The following is a 20999-nucleotide window of genomic DNA, read 5'->3' on the forward strand; positions in this document are numbered from 1 at the left end:
GATAGGATCAGTAGAAGCCTAAACCTCAGAATCACACCATGTACCCTTGCAACAAACATGCACATGTACCTCCTGAATCTAAAAATAAAAATTTAAATAATAAAAAAGCCTTAGAATGTGCTTGTTGTGTGTGTGTGTGTTTTTTTTTTTTTTTGGTATTTATTCTGATTTATATTTGCTGTGCCTTTAAAATGTATGGATTGAAGTGTTTCATCCATTTTGGAAAATTTGGAGCCATCACTTCTTCCACCATTTTTTCTTCACTATTCTCTCTCTCCTCTATTTCTGGGACTTCAATTACACTTATGTTAGCTGAGTTTGTTTATATTGTTCCACAGGTCTTTAATATTTTTTCATTATTTTTACATTTATTTTTCTTCTTATGCTTTAGTTGAGATAATTTCTGTTGACTCACTTCCAGTTCACTAATTCTTTGTTCTGCTCTGTCCAGTCTAATGTTAAGCCCATCCAATACTTTACTTTTTAATGGTATATTTTAGTTACAGAATTGCTATTTGTTTCTTTTGAATAGTTTTTGTTTATTTGCCAAAATTCTCCATCGCTTCTTTCCTCCAAATTGCAAAACATTATAATAATTGTAAATAAATATTTTTCTCTGAAAATTTCATCATATGAATCATCTGTGGGTCTGAGTCTATTGAAAAGTTTTTATTTCTCTTAACTATGAGTCATATTTTCCTGCTTCTTGCATGTTATAATTTTTAATTTTATTTCAGACACAGTGTATATGTAAAAGACCAATAGAGACTGAAGTAGATTATAATTTTCCGCAGAAACGGCTCACCCTTTTGCTGACAAGCAGCGATTGTTAGGGGCTGAGCTCATCAATTTAACTAGTTGAATAGTATTGGGGCTTGGAGTAACAGTAGAGTTAGTTTCAGTTCACTTCTGGTTCAAATGACTCGGGAGAGATTAGGCCCTTTGCTCCAGCAGGATTTTGGATTTTGGGATCTAAGCACCACAAGACTATGAGATCTCTCTCTGAGTTCTGGACCTCATTCCAGCTTTCTGATTATTCTACTTTTTGAATAAAATTTCCATGGGAGTGAATTGGGGTATGGTGAAGGCTAACTCTGAGTTTAGGGCTCTTCCAGATTCTGATCCACCATGCAGCCCAGGCACCTCTCCTAAAAACTTGGATGATTTCTCCTTTTTCACACAAAGTCCCTCCACCTGCAGCAGGCTTGCTTCTCCCCCAGACTCAACAACTCCCCTATGAATTGAAATGGTCTTCCATCTGCTCACTCAAGAAGGGTCTTCTCCCTCTATGAATTTTAGTTTGTTTAGATCTTGTTTTCATCTGCAATCTTCAATGGCTTTAAAGAGAAATAAGATTTTTTTTTTAGTTTACCTGATATTTTTGTTGCTATTAGAATGATGGCTTTTTATTAGCCTCTATATCCTAACTGATAGCAGAACTCTTGAGTCTGATTCTGATGAATTAATTCAGCAACCTATTTTGTTTAAAAATAAAGTGATTAATGATTTATCAAATTATAATACACTTGCAGGTGATTTTTCTCATCTGCAGTGCCCAAAGCCAACCAACTCAAGAAACCTTCAAATTCTACTTCCCTGCCTCCTTGAAATGTTGAGCTAGAGATGATAACCTAATTTATATAATAGAATGAAAATGAAGAGAAATTAATTTTTATTAAGTGTCATGATACAGTATATCTCTAAGAACTCTGCTTATCCCTTTTCATACATCATTCTATTTTTTAAAATGCAAAAATATTTATTGTTTTTTTGGAGTAGAGAAAACCAGTAGAGATGGGGGGTGCAAGGCATTCCTTGGGTCAAGGTCCCAGCCAGGAAACATAAATAAAGATGAGGGATAGGTCCTTCTGAGGGAGGAGGGGTGCTGAACAGTTCAGGTGTTGGTCTTGGGAGTGAATTTACTTGTTCCTTATTTAGTGAGTACCGGGAACCAGGAAATGAGGCATCTGGACCTCACGTGTAAGCTGCACACACTGATGATTGGTTCTGGTTCCCTGTTTAAAAATAGGACCCTTAGGCACCACTAGGGTGGGAATAACAAAATAGGACAATCTCACAAATGTGGAATGCTTAGTTACCCTAAATTTCCCACTACTTTACAGACATTTCAGTTACTTTCTCTGTTCCATTTCCTGGGAAAGATTTTGTTTGTCATGGAAATAATGACACCACATGGTAGTGCCCTCAGGTGAAGGTCTGGCTCCTATGCTTTTTATGCAGCTTGAACACAACTGATGAAATTGTGGGTAAGCCACATTATACTCTGTGGGAAATGGTATACTTTGAATGATGTTCCCCTGAAGTTACAGTGATGCCTGCTGAAAAGAAGATGAGCGGTTTCTTCCTGTTCTTGTCACTTAGCCCTTATTTCCACCTTGCGTAGTTTCACTTGACATATATATTCTCTCCCTTCCCTGCCCTTCCCCTTACCTCTCTTCCTCACCTTTTCCTCTCCCTTTCCCTCATTCCTCTCACTGTGTCTTATCCCTTTCCCCTTTCCCTTCCCTGCACTTTCTTTTGTTTTCTTATCTCTTCTTTTTTCTTTTTCTTTCCTTTTTTTTGAGACAAGGTCTCACTGTGTCACCCAGGCTGGAGTGCAGTGGTACCATCATCATCATCATGACAGATTTGCACACAGGTCCCATAAACTTAGCCTATAAACTCCAAATTCTTATATGCCTGTCTTTCCCAAATGCTCATGTGTCTTATTACTATAATCTTCCAAAATTCCTCTACTGAGAGGATTTTGGAGGAGAATAAGGGCAGTGGGTTAGAGGAGGAGATAAGGGCAGCCTAAATTTTAGGGCCCAACTCTCATCTAGCAAGATGAAGCAGAAGAGAGTGAGAAATTCTATAAAAGAGACTTTGCGGGACACTAGGGAGCTCAAATCCAGCTTGTTCCAAGTGCCACCTTCTTCTCAGCTGTCACAGCGTAATATATTCTAGGTTGGTGCAAAAGTAATTGATGTTTCGGACCGTGAATTTTAAATCATTATAACTAGGTTCAAAGACATCTTTATTAATCAGAATAGGAACCATTACAATCAACACATTTTTGCCAATGAGAAATAAGATTGTGTATTCCTGTAGCATAAAAATCTGTGCTTTGGGATTCAATGAACTCTTGGAAAGCATTTTCTGCATCCTGCTGGTTGTGGAAGCATTTTCCCTGCAAAAAGTTGTCAAGATGCTTGAAGAAGTGGTGGTCAGTTGGCAAGAGGTCAGGTGAATATGGCAGATGAGGCAAAACTTTGTAGCCCAATTTGTTAAACTTTTGAAGCATTGGTTGTGCTACGTGCAGTCAGGCATTGTCAGGCATTGTTGTGGAGAAGAATTGGGCCCTTTCTGTTTACCAATGCTGGCTGCAGGCATTGCAGTTTTTGATGCATCTCATCAGTTTTCTGAGCATACTTCTCAGATGTAACGGTTTCGCCAGGATTCAGAAAGTTGTGGTTGATCAGACTGGCAGGAGACCACCAAACAGTAGCCCCACATTTTTTGGGTGCTAGTTTGGCTTAGGGAAGTGCTTGGGGGCTTCTTCTCGGTCCAACCACTGAGCTGGTTGACACCAGTTGTCATATAAAATCCACTTTTAGGCTGGGTGTGGTGGCTCACACCTGTAATCCCAGCACTTTGGGAGGCTGGGGTGGGCGGATCATGTGAGGTCAGGAGTTCAAGACCGGACTGGCCAACATGGTGAAACCCCGTCTCTACTAAAAATACAAAAATTAGCTGGGCATGGTGGCACAATCCCAGCCACTCGGGAGGCTGAGGCAGGAGAATTGCTTGAACCTGGGAGGCAGAGGTTGCAGTGAGCTGAGATCATGCCACTGCACTCCAGCCTGGGTGACAGAGTAAGACTCCATCTCAAAAAAAAAAAAAAAAAGAGAAAGGAAAAAAAATCCACTTTTCATTGCATGTCACAATACAATCTAGAAATGGTCCGTTGTTGTTGCATAGAATAAGAGAAGATGACAATTCAAAAAGACGATCTTTTTATTTTCACTCACCTCATGAGGCACCCACTTATCGAGCTTTTTCACCTTTCCAATTTGCTTCCAGTGTCAAATGACCGTCGAATGGTCGATGCTGAGTTCTTTGGCAACTTCTTGTATAGTTGTAAGAGGATCAGCTTCGATAATTGCTCTCAATTGGTCGTCATCAACTTCCGATGGCCTGCCACTACACTCCTCATCTTCAAGGCTCTCTTCTCCTTTGCAAAACTTCTCGAACCACCACCGCATCTGTCAATCATTAGCAGCTCCTGGGGCAAATGCATTCTCGATGTTGCAAGTTGTCTCTGCTGCTTTACGACCCATTTTTGAACTCAAATAAGAAAATCACTCGAATTTGCTTTTTGTCTAACATCACTTCCATAGTCTAAGAGAAACATAAAGTAAACAGCAAGTAATAAGTCATTAGCAAAAAAAAAGTGAGAAATGTGTATTAAAATGATGTATAACATAAGCACGCTTAAGAATGTATTCCAATATCAAACGTCAAATCTCAACAATGCAAAAACCACAATTAACCAGTGGTATAAATGAGGGATTTTATAACTTTGGATGGTGAATCTGAGATGTGAGCATCTCATTTCTTAAAAAATCCCTCCTTTATACCACTGGTGAATGGATTCCAGAAGTAGCAGCAATGTCACTGGGGGATGGGAAATTTCAAAGGGTTGAGAGAGGAGGAAAAACTTGAGTTCCCTGGCTCTTTGAGGAAGGTAGGTTTTCTGCCTTGGGAGTGCGAGTGGGGCATGTGTATGTATGCATGCATGTACATGTGTATTATTTTAATGCATAAAATATTTAGAAAAGATCCCTCCCTTACACAGTTATTCTAGAGGCCAAATGTATCAGTTGAAATATTTTGGGCTGCAAATAATAAATAAACCTAACTAGCAGTGACTAAAACCATAGTTATATTTATTTATTTATTTTATTTTTACTGAATAAAGGCAGAAGTTTCTTTGAACTTTGCTAACTCCCGACTCTGGAGAGTTGGCAGCTAGTATGGTTTGAATGCATGTGTCCCCACAAAAGTCATGTTTTGGAGCCTAAGACTTAATGTGATAGAATTAAGAGGCAGGGTCTTTAGGAGGTGATTAAGCGATGAGGGCTCCGTCATCTTGAATGGGATTAGTATTCTTATAAAAGGGCTCAAGAGAGCCAGCTAGGCCCTTCTGGCCTTCCATCTTTCGCCACGTGAGGACAAAGCAACCTCACACCATCATGGAAGCAGAGAGCAGCCCTCACTAGATACCAGATCTGCTGGCACTTGATCTCGAACTTCCACAATAAATTTCTATTATTTATAAATTACCCAGTCTCAGGTGTTTTGTTAATGCAGCACACACAGACTAAAACAATAATTTAACAAGATCATCAGGACCCAGGGCTTTCCATTCTGCCATCCTCAGCATTTTAGTTTTTCATCCTCATCCTGGAGGCCTCACAATTGCAAAGTGGCTACCTCAGCTGCAAATCATCACATTTTCTCTTGATCACATACAAAGACAGGAAACAAAGGCAGGCAGAGTGTTGAGAAATTGTCTCCTGTGTCTCTCTCTCTTTTTTTTTTATCAGAGAGGAAAGCACTTCTCAGTTCTCAGTACACCTCCCTTTCCTTTTCATAGATGAGTACTCCATCATGTAACTACCTATGACCACAAGCAAAGTCTGGAAAAGTGAGTATATTGGAAAAAAAAAAAAAGCCAAGTTTATTGTGATTGAATTAGCAAGAGCAATCATGATTTATCTCTCAGGGCTGTGTACTTGGCAGCTGAGATAAAATCAGGATTCTGTTAGTGCTGTATTGTGTGCATGGTAATTTACTTTAAAATACTTCAGTACAAGTGGTGTGATGTGTATATGTGTAAGTTAACACTAATCAACACTCTAGCAATGAGTGGTTAATTAGTATATGAAGAGTCCTTACCTGAATCAATACTTTTGAGTTAATTAGCATATGGGATGTTAGAAATAATTTTTTGTTGGTGAAATTCATTGTGCATAAGATCAGTTAGGAGTAGGGTAGCAGGATCCACCACTTGTGCGTGAATAAAGCAGAAGAAATGTGCACGTTCAGCCATCGGTACCAGAGGTGGAAGTTCTGGAGCCCATTGGTCCTACATCCTCCCACTTCATGGAGGATCCCTCTAGCTGGCCCAGTGATGGGGCCTTGGATCATACATTTAGGAACCTGTTTCTCAGGGAACTACTCCTGCAAGGGGCATGTCAGGGAACCCAAAGGCAGAGAGAGGGGGAGTTTTTCCCAAAATACAAGTGGTTGTTTGCCTGCTTGCTAAAAAATGATGTGTATGGTTGACAGAATTTGGCCTGAGACTTGCTTTCATATTAAGACACCACCTTGAAGCAAAGTTGCAGGAAAATAATCATATCACCCCCTCCCCCTCCCGCCTCTAGAGGCTACCAACCTGTACTAAGAAGAATCTAGTATCTGCCAAACAGCCAAAGTAACATAGGTTTGGTCACTCCAGTTAGTCAAAGAGGAAAGGGGTGGGTTGTTGGGGAGACCATGAGACCAATAATATCACATAACAAGATGTTAAATTGAAACCATTTCAACTAAAACATGATGGGTACAAAATTCCAAAGTGAGATGATAAACCAAAATACAATTTTTCAAAAAAAAATTATTTTAGAACATAAATCGTCAATATTTGATTTTGAAAAAGAATTTGTAGCAAACTGTATTTGGGTATCTGCTTTTATTCTGTGAGCCTCATCTTCCATGAGTCGAAGGAAGGGTGTTCCGCCCCTCCCCTCAACTGTAAAGAGCTTTATTAGAAAGCCAGTCGGCCTGCTGATGTATGCCCCTTGTACATGGGCATGGCTATGGTAGACTAATGTTTGATATGCTCTGTGGAAATCTGAAGGATTTCTGCCATAGATGGCAAGGCAGAAGGAAATGGAGCTACTACTTTGTTGAGGAATAACTATCTCTCCTCTATAGGCAGGCGAAAGGTGCATGAATACTGGGCACCAGATGCTGAATCCATAGCAGGAATGTTAGCATGGGGTTGTTTAAAAAACATCCTGTGGGAAAGGGATTCTGCCAGAAGCCAAGTTACCCCAACAGAATAAGCCTATAAGATGTGGCCTTCCAGAAAACAAACAGGCTGAGGACAGAAGTGGGAAGAATTCACATAAAGGGGAACTTTTGCCTGCATCAAGGGAATAGCAGACAGGGTGATCCAGCAGGAGAGCCACTGAAGTCACTCCAAAGTGTTCTGAAAATGAAGACACAGCTTCACACCCTTGCCAGGCCTAGAGCCCAGAGCCATCTCCCAATAGCGCCAGACAAGTAAGTGCTTCCCTTATTCTTTCCACTCACTCATCTCATGTCTTCTCATGCTCCAATAGTGGAGAGGCCAGAGCCACTATTTGCAAGCCGAGGAAGGAGAAGTAGGGAAATAAATGAGACAATGACCCCACACTTGCTCAGCAGACAGGAGGCTGGCCCTACCTGAAAGAAAAGAGAAAATTTAAGTCTCATTACAGGCCAGTTTTGATTACTACAAGGGACTAGGCATCCTAACTTCCAAAAGAAGACCATGTTTGCTATTTAAGTGGTGGTAGGGCTTTTTGTGAGCCAAGAGTCATGGGCCTGCTGGAGCTTCCATTGGGGTCACCAAGCATATTTAAAGGACAGGGGGAGCCACCTCACATGGGCATGAAAGGAGTCCTGCCCCTGTCACTTCCCTCCTTTGCTTTGATCTTTCACCTTCTCCGCTCTTCTCTCCAGCATTCTGCTTCATTTTAATCTTGGCTTCTGTGTCAGTTCTCTATTGCTGCATAGCAAATTACCGCAAACTTCATGACTTCAGAAAAGCATGCATTCGCTATTGCATGGTTTCTGTAGATCAGGAGTCTAGGCATATCTTAGCCGCATGTCTCTGGCTCTAAGACCTTTCACAGGGCTTTAATCAAGGTGTCAGTCCGGACTCCAATCTCATCTCAAGGCTCCACTGGGGAAGGATGGGATTTAGGACTCATGTGGTTATTGGCAGAATTCAGTTCCCTGTGGCCTGTTGGATTAAAGCCTCAGTTTCTTGCTGGCTGACAGCTGGAAGCCACCCTCAGTTTCTAGTCTGTTGGCAAAAGGCTGTACTCAGTTTCTTGCCATGTGGACCTCCCAAATATGTCTACTTGCTTCATCAAAACCTGCAAGAGTCTTTTTCATAAGACAAGTGTTACAATCTTATGTAATGTAATTGCAGAAGTGACTCACATTGGAGTCATATTGCCATATTCCTTTTGGTTTGAGGCAGGTCCCAGATCTCACCCACATTCAAAGGGAAGCAATTACTACACACGGCATGAATATCAGAGGCTGGGACGATGGGGGGCCATCTTGCAGACAATTGCAAGTTGTCTGCCACAACTTCTATTCTTCAATCCATGTGTATCTCTAGCCTGGGGACAGGGATGGGGGAAATTGCCAAAACATCTTCAGAGTGAAATGTCTATTAAACAAATATACTGCCCTAGTGTTGAGATAAAACAACTCACAGAGGACAGGCCCAGTGAATTATTATGGGAGGAAGGGTCTGCTTCTTATTTCAGTGTACCCCAAACCTTCTGCAGTGTCAGTTTAGAGTGTGCCGCCTAGAAGGAGCTGGGTTTGGGCTCCAGGGAAGGGAAAGGCTGAGGAGATTAAAAAAAAAAAATCCATCCCATCACACTGACTTGTATGATGCACATGCTAAATACCAGGCCTATCTATGCCCTTTATATGTATTATTCAAATAGTCCTGACAACAGCCTCATGTGAAGGTATTCTTTTTACCTGCATTTTACAATTTTTTTTTAAATGAAGGTTTTATAGGTCTCAGTAGCTTGCCCAGGGAAAGTGATGGATCCAGAACTTGAAAGAGGTTTGTCTGCTCTAACCTGGATCTTATCACCATCTTAAAGAAAATGTGGGCACCTAGACAGTGGAGGCAACATGCAACAGCACTTTATTTGGAATCAGAAGAGCTGGGTTCAATTATCACTCAGTTGCCTCTAAACTGAATGACTCTGGGCTCCTTTCTCAGCCTGCTTGGGCCTCACTTTCATGTGTATGAAGAAAATAATAAATTATGTCTCTTCTTCAGGTGAAAAAAAGTACCTTCACCCTTATTTCCCACCATGCACAGAAAATGAACTTAAAGTGGAGCATAGGCTTAATTGTGAGAAACAAACCTGTGAAATTTAAGTTAGGCAAAGATTGCAAACCTATAAAAGAAAAAAGTGATAAACTGGACTTCATAGAAGTTAAGATTTTTTTCTTTTCAAAAGACACCGTTGAGAAAATGAAAAGAGAATGCCATTGTATGGAAAAAAATTGCAAAACATATATCTGATTAAAGACTTATATCCAGATTATATTGCGACCTCTTACAGCTTAGTTATATGGCAAAAAACCCAATAAATAGTGGGAAAAGATTTGAATGGATTCATTACCAAAAACAGATATTGAAATAGACAATAAATACATAAACAGATGCTTAACATAATTCATCATTAGGGAAATGCAAATTAAAACATCAATGAGGCCGGGCATGGTGGCTCACACCTGTAATCCCAGCACTTTGGAAGGCTGAAGGGGGTGGAACTCCTGAGCTCAGGAGTTTGAGAACAGCCTGGGCAACATGGTGAAGCCCCGTCTCTATAAAAATAAATATAAAACAATAAGCTGGGTGCAGTAGTGTGCACCTGGTCTCAGCTACTCGGGAAGCTAAGGCAGTAGAATTGCTTGAGCTTGGGAGGCAGAGGTTGTAGTGAGCTGAGATAACACCATTGCACTCGGCCTGGGTAACAGGAGTAAAACCCTGTCTCAAAATAATAATAATAATAATTAATAATAATGAGATACCACCATATACCTACTATGCCATATATTAATTATGTCTTTAAATCCTTACCAAGACCCTTTAAGTAGGGCTGTTTTTATTCCCATTTCACAGATAAGAATACTTGCTGCCTTAGGTAGGTACTCAAGGTCACAGAGCTAAGGTGCAAGACAGCAAGCTTCAACTCAGGCAGTCTGATTGTAATGCCTATGTGCTCCCTGTGACCTTACTAAGCCATTTAATGTCATCTCCATGAGGGCAAGGACTTGTCAATCTTGTGCACTGCTGGGGCTCCAACACCTAACACATAGCAGACACTCGATATTTGTTGAATGAAAGCCGGCCAGTGCACACTGGGACTCAGTTGGCACTTACTCCTACCTTCACAGAACCTTCAAGTATGAATGAATCATACCAACTTATAATTTAGGATGCCCTTTTATGATACCTTTTATTTGATCTTGGAACACTCCACAACTAGCTTCACGTAGGTCCTCTCCACATTCCTCTTCTCCCTTAGTTCTCCTTTTCTCATTCACTCCTCTTTCTTCTCTCTCTTCTTTTCTTTTCTCCAGTGGCTGGTGTGGCTTTACCTCACTTTGGAGAGGATACATGGTGATGCTGACCTCCAGGGCCAGCTGCTTGGCTTGCCAAGACAGTGTCCTCAGAGACTGTGCATGCAGACCCACAGCCTACCTGCCCTGCCCCCGGGTCCTTGCTCTGTCTTTAGCCAGCCTTTGTGGGCGTTCACTTCCCAGCACTACGAGGGAGGCTGACTGGCCTATTTCCTCCTGACTCAAGGAAGGTTTGCTTGCTGAAAGATTATCCAGTGAGTACCAAATGTTCCTTTTTATTTTTATTTACGTTTTTAGAGATGGGGGTCTCACAATATTGCCCAGCCTGGGCTGGAACTCCTGGGCTCAAGCGATCCTTCTGCCTAGGCCTCCCAAGTAGCTGGGACTACAGGCATGTGCCACTGCACCTGGCTAATGCTCCTTTCTAAGATAAAAACCAGAAAAGTCTAAGAATAGTCCCTGTGAAGGAGGGAGGCAGCAGGAATCCAGGACTGGAAGGTCCAGGCATCACACAGCTAACTGAGGCCTGCCTTCCTCAGGCTGGAAGATAGAAGAGGCAGGACAACAAAGTTTGCTTCCTCTCCTGCTAAGAAGGGAGGATGGGGGTTAAACTGGATTTGCTTTCAGCTCTTGAATCAACATCGAGCGCCCGTCTTGTCTGCCAGACCATATGGTATGCAGAGGCAGACTTGGACTGGGTTTTGGCAGATGGAGGGAGCTATGCTGAAAATGACAGAGTCTAGCAACTGGGGAGGCATGGGGGCTGGCAGGTGAGAACCTCAGGAGGAGGCTGGTTGGGAGCAGGAGGAAAACGCAAGAAGCAGGAGACAAAGCAAAAAGAAATCATTTTCCAGTAGAGAAAAAGGGAAGAAGCATTATTTGTCTTGGAGAGTAGCAAGGACCGCTGAATAAGGATGTGTGTACAGTGCAACACAATGTTTTCCCAGATCTTTTATTTTGCCACATTTGTGTGCTACCTATACTATATTCAGTTAAGATTTTTTCTGTATACTGACTTTTGAAGAATGTAAACAAATTTATTTTAAAAGAAAGGTTTTATCACTGCCACAGGTGAAAAGTTTGTCATAACTGTATGGTAATCCTAAGCATGAATAAAAAGAAAACTTTGTGACGATATTAAATTCTAACCACATACTACAACCTACTAAAGACTGGACTTTCATCTACTGTTTCTTTAAACGAAAATAGAGTATGGAAGACATAACATCATCAAATTCAGCGTTTTTCTTTGATATTTACAGAAAGTTTGAAAAAGAATATGATTTGATTGATTTTGGAGACAGTTAGAAGATAGTGGATAGGAAACAGTACTAACATGCAGCTCTCACTTGGATGGAAGAACAGCATGTGGAGACTCACATTGTGAACTTTTGCAGTGAAACACACCAGGAAAACTGAAAGAGTTAACAGACTCTTTGAAAGAAGTGGCCTGCCACTGCAAACTTCCCAAGACAGCCTAAAAACTGAGTTCCCAAAGTGTGAGGGGGAAATGTCTGCCTCCGTACACACATTCCCACTGGGGAACCTGACAATCCAGATCATGGGAGAAGGATTTAACCTTACATAAAGCTGACATGGATTTAGGGAGTTGAACAAAATATAACAGTAGAAGAAGCAGTGAGAAGAGCCCTGTAGGTACTCCTGGTCCCCAGTTTGAGCCTAGGGAAGCTATTTCCAGCATTATCTCACAGGGCTCGTATGGAAGGCAGCCAGTGGAATTGAGGAGGAGCCACAGAATGAAGGAAGCTCCTAGTTGAACTCTAATAATTGTGACTGAGCATGAATTTTCCGAGCAGAATCTTGGGGCAAGGGTGGGGGTACAAATGGGAAATACTGATACGAGTGCAGAAGTACAGCTGACTATGTGGGCAGGCAGGGAGGGGCAAGGTGTGAGAGCCCTGCTTGCTTTCTCATCAGGGAGGCTCATAGCCTGGGGCAAGATCTCAGCCCTGCTCACCAGCTGTCTGGTGAGCACAGATATAAACTTTGTGCTGTTGGTGGGGCACAGTGGGAGTGAGATAGGCCTTTCTGGCTGTGTGAGAGCTGGGTGAGGCCTGTCACTTCCAGCTTTCCTCCACCTTCCTGGTGACCTGTATTACACAGCAGAGATAGCCATAATCCCCTCGGGAACACAATTTCACTGGCCTGAGAACTGGCCCCCATCCCCCACAGTGATCACAGCAAGCCCCACCCATGGAGAGTCTGAGCTCAGACATGCCTAACCCTGCCCCCACCTGATGGTCTTTCTCTATCCACCCTACTAGCTGAAGACAAAATATATAAACTCATGGAAGCTCTGTGGCCCCTCTCATTGCCTAAGAAACCCAAATACTTATCCAGGCATCTTAGGGTAAGCTTGTATCCCCTCTATACTACCACAGATGATGCTCTCTTGAAAGCCCTACCTTTTGGCTGGAGGTCAACCAACTCAAGCCATGACAGCAACTCAGGACAGAACAACCCTGCTCCAAAGAAGGAGAAAACGACAGCTCATTCCACTGCCTGCAACACCCTGGTGAACCAGAGGTCCTAAGTCTGTCCATGTGACCACTTCACTGCTAGCATAACAAGCATTCCAGAAAACTACTGCACTACACAAAACTACAACTGAGGACTCCCACAGAGTCCACTTCACTCTCCGGCCACCTCCACCAGAGAAGGTGCTGGAATCCATGGCTGAGAGACCCAAAGACAGATCACATCATAGGACTCTCTGCAAACATTCTTCAGCACCAACCCAAAACTTGGTAGCCTGGCAGGGTGGCTATACCCAGAAGGGCAATAACAATCACTGCAGTCTAGCTCTCAGGAAGACCCATCCCTAGGGGAAGACACATCAAGGGATCAGCCATGGGACAAAAGAATCTGAGCAGCAGCCTTGAGTTGCAGATCTTTCCACTGAAACAGTCTATCCAAATGAGAAGGAACCAGGAAAGTAATTCTGGTAATATGACAAAACAAGGTTCTACAACATCCCCCCAAAAATTACACTAGCTCTCCAGCAATGGATCCAAACCAAGAAGAAATCTCTGAACAGCCAGATAAAGAATTCAGAAGGTTGATTATTAAGTTTCTGGATTCAGAAGCTTAATAATCAACCTTCTGAATTCTTAAAAGCTTCTAATTATTAAGTTTTCTCCATATTATCAAGAAGATACCAGAGAAAGGTGAAAACCAACGTAAAGAAATTTTTAAAAAATATAGAATTTGGATGAAAAGCCTCCAGAGAAATAGATATCAAAAAAAAGAAAAGACAATCAAAACTTCTGGAAATGAAAGGCCTACTTAAAGAAATGCAAAATACACTGGAAAGTTTCAACAATAATATCAAACAAGTAGAAGAAAGAACTTCAGAGCTTGAAGGTTAATTCAAAAAGCTTTTGAATTAACCAAATCTGACAAAGACAAAGGAAAAAAAGTTTAAATGAACAAAGGCTCCAAGAAATTTGGGATAATGTTAAGTGACCAAACATAAGAATAATTGGTGCTCCTGAGAAAAAAGAGAAATCTAAAAGTTTGGCAAACTTATTTGAGAGAATAATCGAAGAAAACTTCCCCGTCTTGCTAGAGGTCTAGACATCCGAACACAAGAAACTCAAAGAACACCTGGGAAATTCATTGCAAAAAGATCATCACCTAGGCACATAGTCATCAGGTTATCTAAAGTCAAGAGGAAGGAAAGAATCTTAAGAGCTGTGAGGCAAAAGCATCAGGAAAACTATAAAGGAAAATCAATCATATTAACAGCAGATTTCTCAGCAGAAACTCTACAAGCCAGAAGGGATTAGGGTCCTATCTTTAGCCTCCTTAAACAAAACAATTATAAGCCAATAATTTTGTAGCCAGTGAAACTAAGCTTAATAAACGAAGGAGACAGAAAGTCTTTTTCAGACAAACAAATGCTGAGAGAATTCACCACTACAAAGCCAGCACTACAAGAAATGCTAAAAGGAGTTCTAACTCTTGAAACAAAGCCTCAAATACACCAAAATAGAACCTCCTTAAAGCATAAATCTCACACGGCCTATAAGACAATAGCAAAATGAAAAAACAAAAAGTATTCAGGCAACAATAGCATGATGTATAGAACAGCATCTCACATCTCAATACTAACATTGAATGTAAATGGCCTAAATGCTCCCTTTAAAAGATACAAAATGGCAAAATGAATAAAAAATCCACTAAGCATGTGCTGTCTTCAACAGACTCACCTAACTCATAAGGACTCACACAAACTTAAGATAAAGGGATGGAAAAAGATATTTCATGCAAATGGAAACCAAAAGTGAGCAGGAGTAGCTATTTTTATATTAGACAAGACAGACTTTAAAGCAACAACAGTTAAAAAAGACAAACAGGGACATTATATAATGATAAAAGGATTAGTCCAACAGGAAAATATCACAATCCTAAATAGATATGCATCTAACACTGGAGCTCCCAAATTTATAGAACAGTTACTTCTAGACCTAATAAATGAGATAGAGCAACACAGAAATAGTGGGGGACTTCAGTACGTCACTGACAGCACTCAATAGGTCATCAAGACAGAAAGTCAACAAAGAAACAGTGGACTTAAACTATACTCTAAAACAAATGGACTTAACAGATATTTACAGAACGTTCTATCCAACAACTGCAGAATATACATTCTTTTCATCAGCACATGGAAATTCTCCAGGATAGACCATAATATAGGCCAAAAAACAAGTCTTAATAAATTTAAGAAAATCAAAATTACATCAAGTATTCTCTCAGGCCACAGTGAAATAAAGGTGAAAATTAACTCCAAAAGAAACCTCAAAACTATAAAAATACATGGAAATTATAATCTGCTCCTGAATGACCTTTAGGTCAACAATGGAATTGAAATGGAAATTTAAAAATTCTTTGAACTTGAGGCAGGAGCATAGGGTCTGGGGCAGGGAACCCAAGGATTTCCTAGAACTAAAGCAAATGGAAAAACCCCAACTTTCTACAACCAGGTAAATAACTTTGTAACTCTATTTCAGCTATGACAGGAAACATTCTCTTCATTTGCATAGGGTATACACCAAGTACATAACTTTCTAACTTCACTTCAGCCTCTTCATTTACATAGAGCATACACCAAATAATCAATGGGAAACCTCCGGAGGTATTTAAACCCCAGAAAATTCTGTAATCCAGCTCTTGAGCCACTTGCTCAGGCCCACTCCCACCCTGTGGAGTGTACTTTTATTTTTAATAAATCTCTGCTTTTGTTGCTTCATTTTTTCCTTGCTTTGTTTGTGTATTTTGTCCTATTCTTGTCCAAAATGCCAAGAACCTGGACACCCTCCCCCAGTAACAACCTGAACAATAATACTGACACAACCTATCAAAACCTCTGGGATACAGCAAAAGTGGTACTAAGGGGAAAGTTCATAATATTAAATGCCTACATCAAAAAATCTGAAGGAGTACAAATAGACAATCTAAGGTCACACTTCAAGGAACTAGAGAAACAAGAAAAAACCAAACCCAAACCCAGCAGAAGAAGAGAAATAACAAACATCAGAACGGAACTAAATGAAATTGCAACAAACAAACAAAAAACAATACAAAAGATAAATGATACAAAAAACTTGTACTTTGAAAAGATAAATAAAATTGATAGATCATTAGTGAGATTAACCAAGGAGAGAGAAGATCCAAATAAGCTCAATTAGAAATGAAATGGGAGATATTACAACCAATACCGCAGAAATACAAAAGATCATTCAAGGATACTATAAACACCTTTATGCATGCAAACTAGAAAATTTAGAAGAGATTGATACATTCCTGGAAATATACAATCTTCCTAGATTAAACCAGGAAGAAATAGAAACTCTGAACAGACCAATAACAAGTAGCAAGATTGAAAGAGTAATTATTTTTAAATGTCAACAACAACAACAAAAGTCCAGGACCAGATGGATTCACAGCTAAATTGTATCAGGCATTTAAAGAAGAATTGGTACAAATCCTACTGAAACTATTCCAAAACTTGGAGAAAGAGGGAAACCTCCCTATATCATTCAATAAACCAGTATTACCCAAATACCAAAACCAGGAAAGGACATAACGAAAAAAGAAAACTACGGAACAATATCCCTGATGAACATAGATGAAAGAAATCCTCAACAATACTAGCTAACTGAATCCAACAGCATATCAAAGATATACGCCATGATCAAGTGGGTTTCATAGCAGAAATGCAGGGTTGTTTTAACATACACAAGTCAATAAATGTGATACACCACAGAAAAGAAGCAAAAACAAAAATCATATGGTCATCTCAAGAGATGCAGAAAAAGCATTTGACAAAATCGAGCATCCCCTTATGGTTAAAACCCTTAGCAAAATCAGCTTAGAAAGGACATATCTTAAGGTAATAAAAGCCACCTATGACAAAGCCACAGCCAACGTTCTGCTGAATGGAGAAAAGTTGAAAGCATTTCCCCTGGAGAATTGGAACAAGACAAGGATGCCCGCTTTCACCACTTCTATTCAACATAGTACTGGAAGTCCTAGCCAGAGCAATCTGACAAGAGAAAGAAATAAACGGCATCCAAATCAGTAAAGAGGAAGTCAAACTGTCACTATTTGCCAATAATATGACTGTGTATCTAGAAAACCCTAAAGACTCATCCAAAAAGCCCCTCAATCTGATGAACGAATTCAGTAAAGTTTCAGGATACAAAATCAATGTACACAAATTAGTAGCACTGCTATACACCAACAGTGACCAAGCTGATAATTAAATCAAGAACTCAACTCCTTTTACAACAGTTGTAAAAAATAAAAAAATAAAAATACTTAAGAATATACCTAACCAAGGAGGTGGTAGATCTCTACAAGGAAAACTACAAAACACTGCTGAAATAAATCCGTAACACAAACAAATGGAAACACATCCCATGCTCATGGATAGGTAGAATCAATATTGTGAAAATGACCATACTACCAAAAGCAATCTATAAATTCAATGCAATTCCCATGAAAATACCATCATCATTCTTCACAGAATTAAAAAAAAAAAATCTTAAAATTCATATGGACAAAAAAAGAGCCCACATAGCCAAAGCAAGACTAAGCAAAAACAACAAATATGGCAACATCACATTACCCAACTTCAAATTATACACAAGGCTATAATTACTAAAACAGCATGGTGCTGGCATAAAAACAGGCACATAAGCCAATGAAACAGAAAAGAGAACCCAGAAATAAAGCCAAATACTTAGCTGAGCACAGTGGCTCATGCCTGTAATCCCAGCACTTTGGGAGGCTGAGGCAGGCAGATCACTTGAGGTTCGAGACCAGTCTGGCCAACATGGTGAAAACCTGTCTCTACTAAAGATGCAAAAATTAGTGGGGAGTGATGGTGCATGCCTGTAGTCCCAGCTACTCAGGAAGCTGAGGCAGGAGAATCACTTAAACTGGGAGGTGGAGGCTGCAGTGAGCCACGGTCATGCCACTGCACTCCAACCTGGGCAACAGAGTGAGACTCCATCAAAAACAAACAAACAACAAAAAAACCCCACCAAATATTCATATCCAACTGATCTTGAACAAAGCCAACAAAAACATAAAGTGGAGAAAGGATGCCTTCTTCAACAAATGGTGCTGAAATAACTGGCAAGCTCCACATAGAAAAATAAAACTGAATCCTCATTTCTTACCTTATACAAAAATCAACTCAAGATGAACCAAAGACTTAAGTCAAAGACCTGAAACCATAAAAATTCTAGACCATAATATCAGAAAAACCCTTCAGACATTGGCTTAGGCAAAGACTTCATGACTAAGAAGCCAAAAGCAAATGCAAAAAAAAAAAAAAAAAAAAAAAGAATAAATGGGGCTTAAGTAAACTAAAAAGGTTCTGCACACCAAAAGAAATAATCACCAGTGTAAACAGACAACTTACAGAATGGGAGAAAATATTTGCAAACTATGTATCCAACAAAGGATGAATATTCAGAATCTACAAATAACTCAAACAAATCAACTGGAAAAAAAAACAAATAATCTCTTCAAAAAGTGGGCTAAGGACATGAATAGACAATTCTCAAAAGAAGATATACAACAGGCCAATAAACATATGAAAAAATGATCTATATCACTAATTATCAGGAAAATGCCAATCAAAACCACAATGTGATACCACCTTCCTCCTACAAGAATGGCCATAATTAAAAAATAAAAAAAAAGACATTGGCGTGGATATTGTGAAAAGGGAACAATTTTACCCTGTTGGTGGGAATGTAAACTAGTACAACCACTATGGAAAACAGTATAGAGAGTCCTTAAATAACTAAAAGTAGAACTACCATTTGATCCAGCAATCCCACTCCTGGGTATCTACCCAGAGGAAAAGAAGTCATTATATGAAAAAGACCCTTGCACATGCATGTTTATAGCAGCACAATCGCAATTGCAAAAATATGGAACCAGCCTAAATGCTCGTCAATAAGTGAATAAAGAAATGTGAATAAAGAAAATGTGGCATATGTGTATACCATAGAATACTACTGAGCCATGAAAAGGAACAAAATAATGGCATTTGCAGCAACCTGAGTGGTGTTGGAGACCATTATTCTAAGTGAAGTAACTCAGGAATGAAAGACCAAACATCATATGTTCTCACTTATAAGTGGGAGCTAAGCTATGAGAACACAAAGGCATAAGAATTACATAATGGAGTCTGGGGACTTGAGGAGGATGGTTGGGAGGCAGATAAGGGATATAAGACCACACACTGGTGCAGTGTACACTGCTCGGGTGATGGGTGCACCAAAATCTCAGAAATCATCACTAAAGAATTTATCCAAGTAACCAAACACCACCTGTTCCCCCAAAACTATTGAAATAATAAAAATAAAAATAAGAAGGATGATGTTTCTCACTGTGCAAGCCAATGTCATTTAATGCAGCAATATATCAATGATGCAAGTTTTACTAGAACATTTTGGAAAACCTGTGGGATGGGGCAGAACAAACATAGCCCTACGCATTAGAAGATGAGGCTTCCAGTTCTCTGCCACCATCATTGGGTCATCTTTGATATGTTTTCTTATAATGAGTCTCAATTTTCTCATCTGTTGGAAGGTATGGAGTTAAACTTCCCAAGAAATAGTATTTGGTTTCATCTTTCGGAGTTAAGAACAATTCTGAAGTTTGATCCAAGTTCAGTGGGAAAGAATGCCATGATAGATAGTAATGTCTGCCATAGGTACAGAGCTGGAAATGGTGAGATGCATGTTAGTTATCTGCCACTCTTAGATTAGAAAATCTCTAAGTTACCCCCACAATTCTGACAGCCTGTGATTATATAATTTAAATACTCATCCAAGAGCATGTTTGGCTTGCTTATTTGCTCATGACTGATGGCAAATTATGAAACAAGACAATTTTGGTAAGTAATAGGCCAACAAGTCAGTTCTGCTCAATAAACACTCATCTAGCACTGTATTATGCCAGGCTCTGAGCTGAGAATGCAAAGATGAATAATAAGACTTAGTCCCTATCTTAGAGGCGCTTGCAGTCCTAAGCAGTGTGTGCAGGGGGGTTGATGACAGAAACCTAAACAGATGTCACACAAGTTTCAATATGATGTAATAAGTACTGTGCTAGAGGTACATGTGGAGTCCTGGGGGACCTCAGGGCACAGTCAAAGGATTCCTAGAATCATATCCTGGCCTGAGGGATGATGAAGTTATTCTGGAAGTTCTCAGAGATTCATGGGATTTCACTATTTTAGGTTGAATTGTGTCCTTCAACAACTTATATTGAAATCCTAAGTCCCAAGACCTGTGAATGCAACCTCAATTGGAAATAGGGTCTTTGCAGATTATTAGGGGTTGAATTGTGTCTGCCTCACTATCTGTCCCCCGCAAAAATATAGAGTCTTAACCTCTGATACCTTAGAATGTGACTCTATTTGAAGATAAGCTTTTTACAGTGGTAAGTAGAGTAATAAAGTTAAAATGAGGTCATCGGGGTAGGCTCTAATCTGCTATGACTGGTGTCCTTAGGAAAAGAAGAAATTTGAACACAGAGAGAGACATGCACATGAAAAAGGTGATGTAAAGAGATGAAGGAGGTGACAGCCATCTATAAACCAAGGAGAGAGCCTGAAACCTTTCTTTTACGGCCCTTTGAAGGAACCAACCCTGCTGACAGCTTGATTTTGGATTTCTAGTCTCTAGAACTTAAAGACAATAAATTTTTGTTGTTTGAGCCACCCACTTAGTGGTACTTTGTTATGGCAGCCCTAGCAAACTAATAAACAGATGTAACTAAGTCAAAATGAGGTCATATTGGATTAGGGTAGGCCTTAATCCAATGTGTCTTTATAAAAGAAGGAAATTTGGACACACAGAGACACACACAGGGAAGAATGCCATGTAATACTGGAGGCAGAGATTGGAGTGATACTTCTACAGGCCAAGGAATGCCCAGCACTGCCAGCAGCCACCAAAAGCTAAGAGACAGGCACAAAGCAGACTCTCCCT

General features: G+C 40.1%; 1 long non-coding RNA gene across 2 annotated transcripts in view; it reads left to right on the forward strand.

The window, feature by feature from the left end:
- LOC105377684 (uncharacterized) overlaps positions 1–20732 on the forward strand; it is a 114041-nt gene extending 93309 nt beyond the window's left edge. For both annotated transcript variants that reach the window (XR_941139.3, XR_941141.2), the window contains 4 exons: positions 5660–5710; positions 7000–7350; positions 10459–10712; positions 20520–20732. This is a non-coding gene — a long non-coding RNA (uncharacterized LOC105377684). The remainder of the gene's footprint in view (positions 1–5659; positions 5711–6999; positions 7351–10458; positions 10713–20519) is intronic.
- Positions 20733–20999: the final 267 nt, after the last annotated feature.

This window comes from Homo sapiens, chromosome 5 (assembly GCF_000001405.40).
Source record: "Homo sapiens chromosome 5, GRCh38.p14 Primary Assembly".
Taxonomy (NCBI): domain Eukaryota; kingdom Metazoa; phylum Chordata; class Mammalia; order Primates; family Hominidae; genus Homo; species Homo sapiens.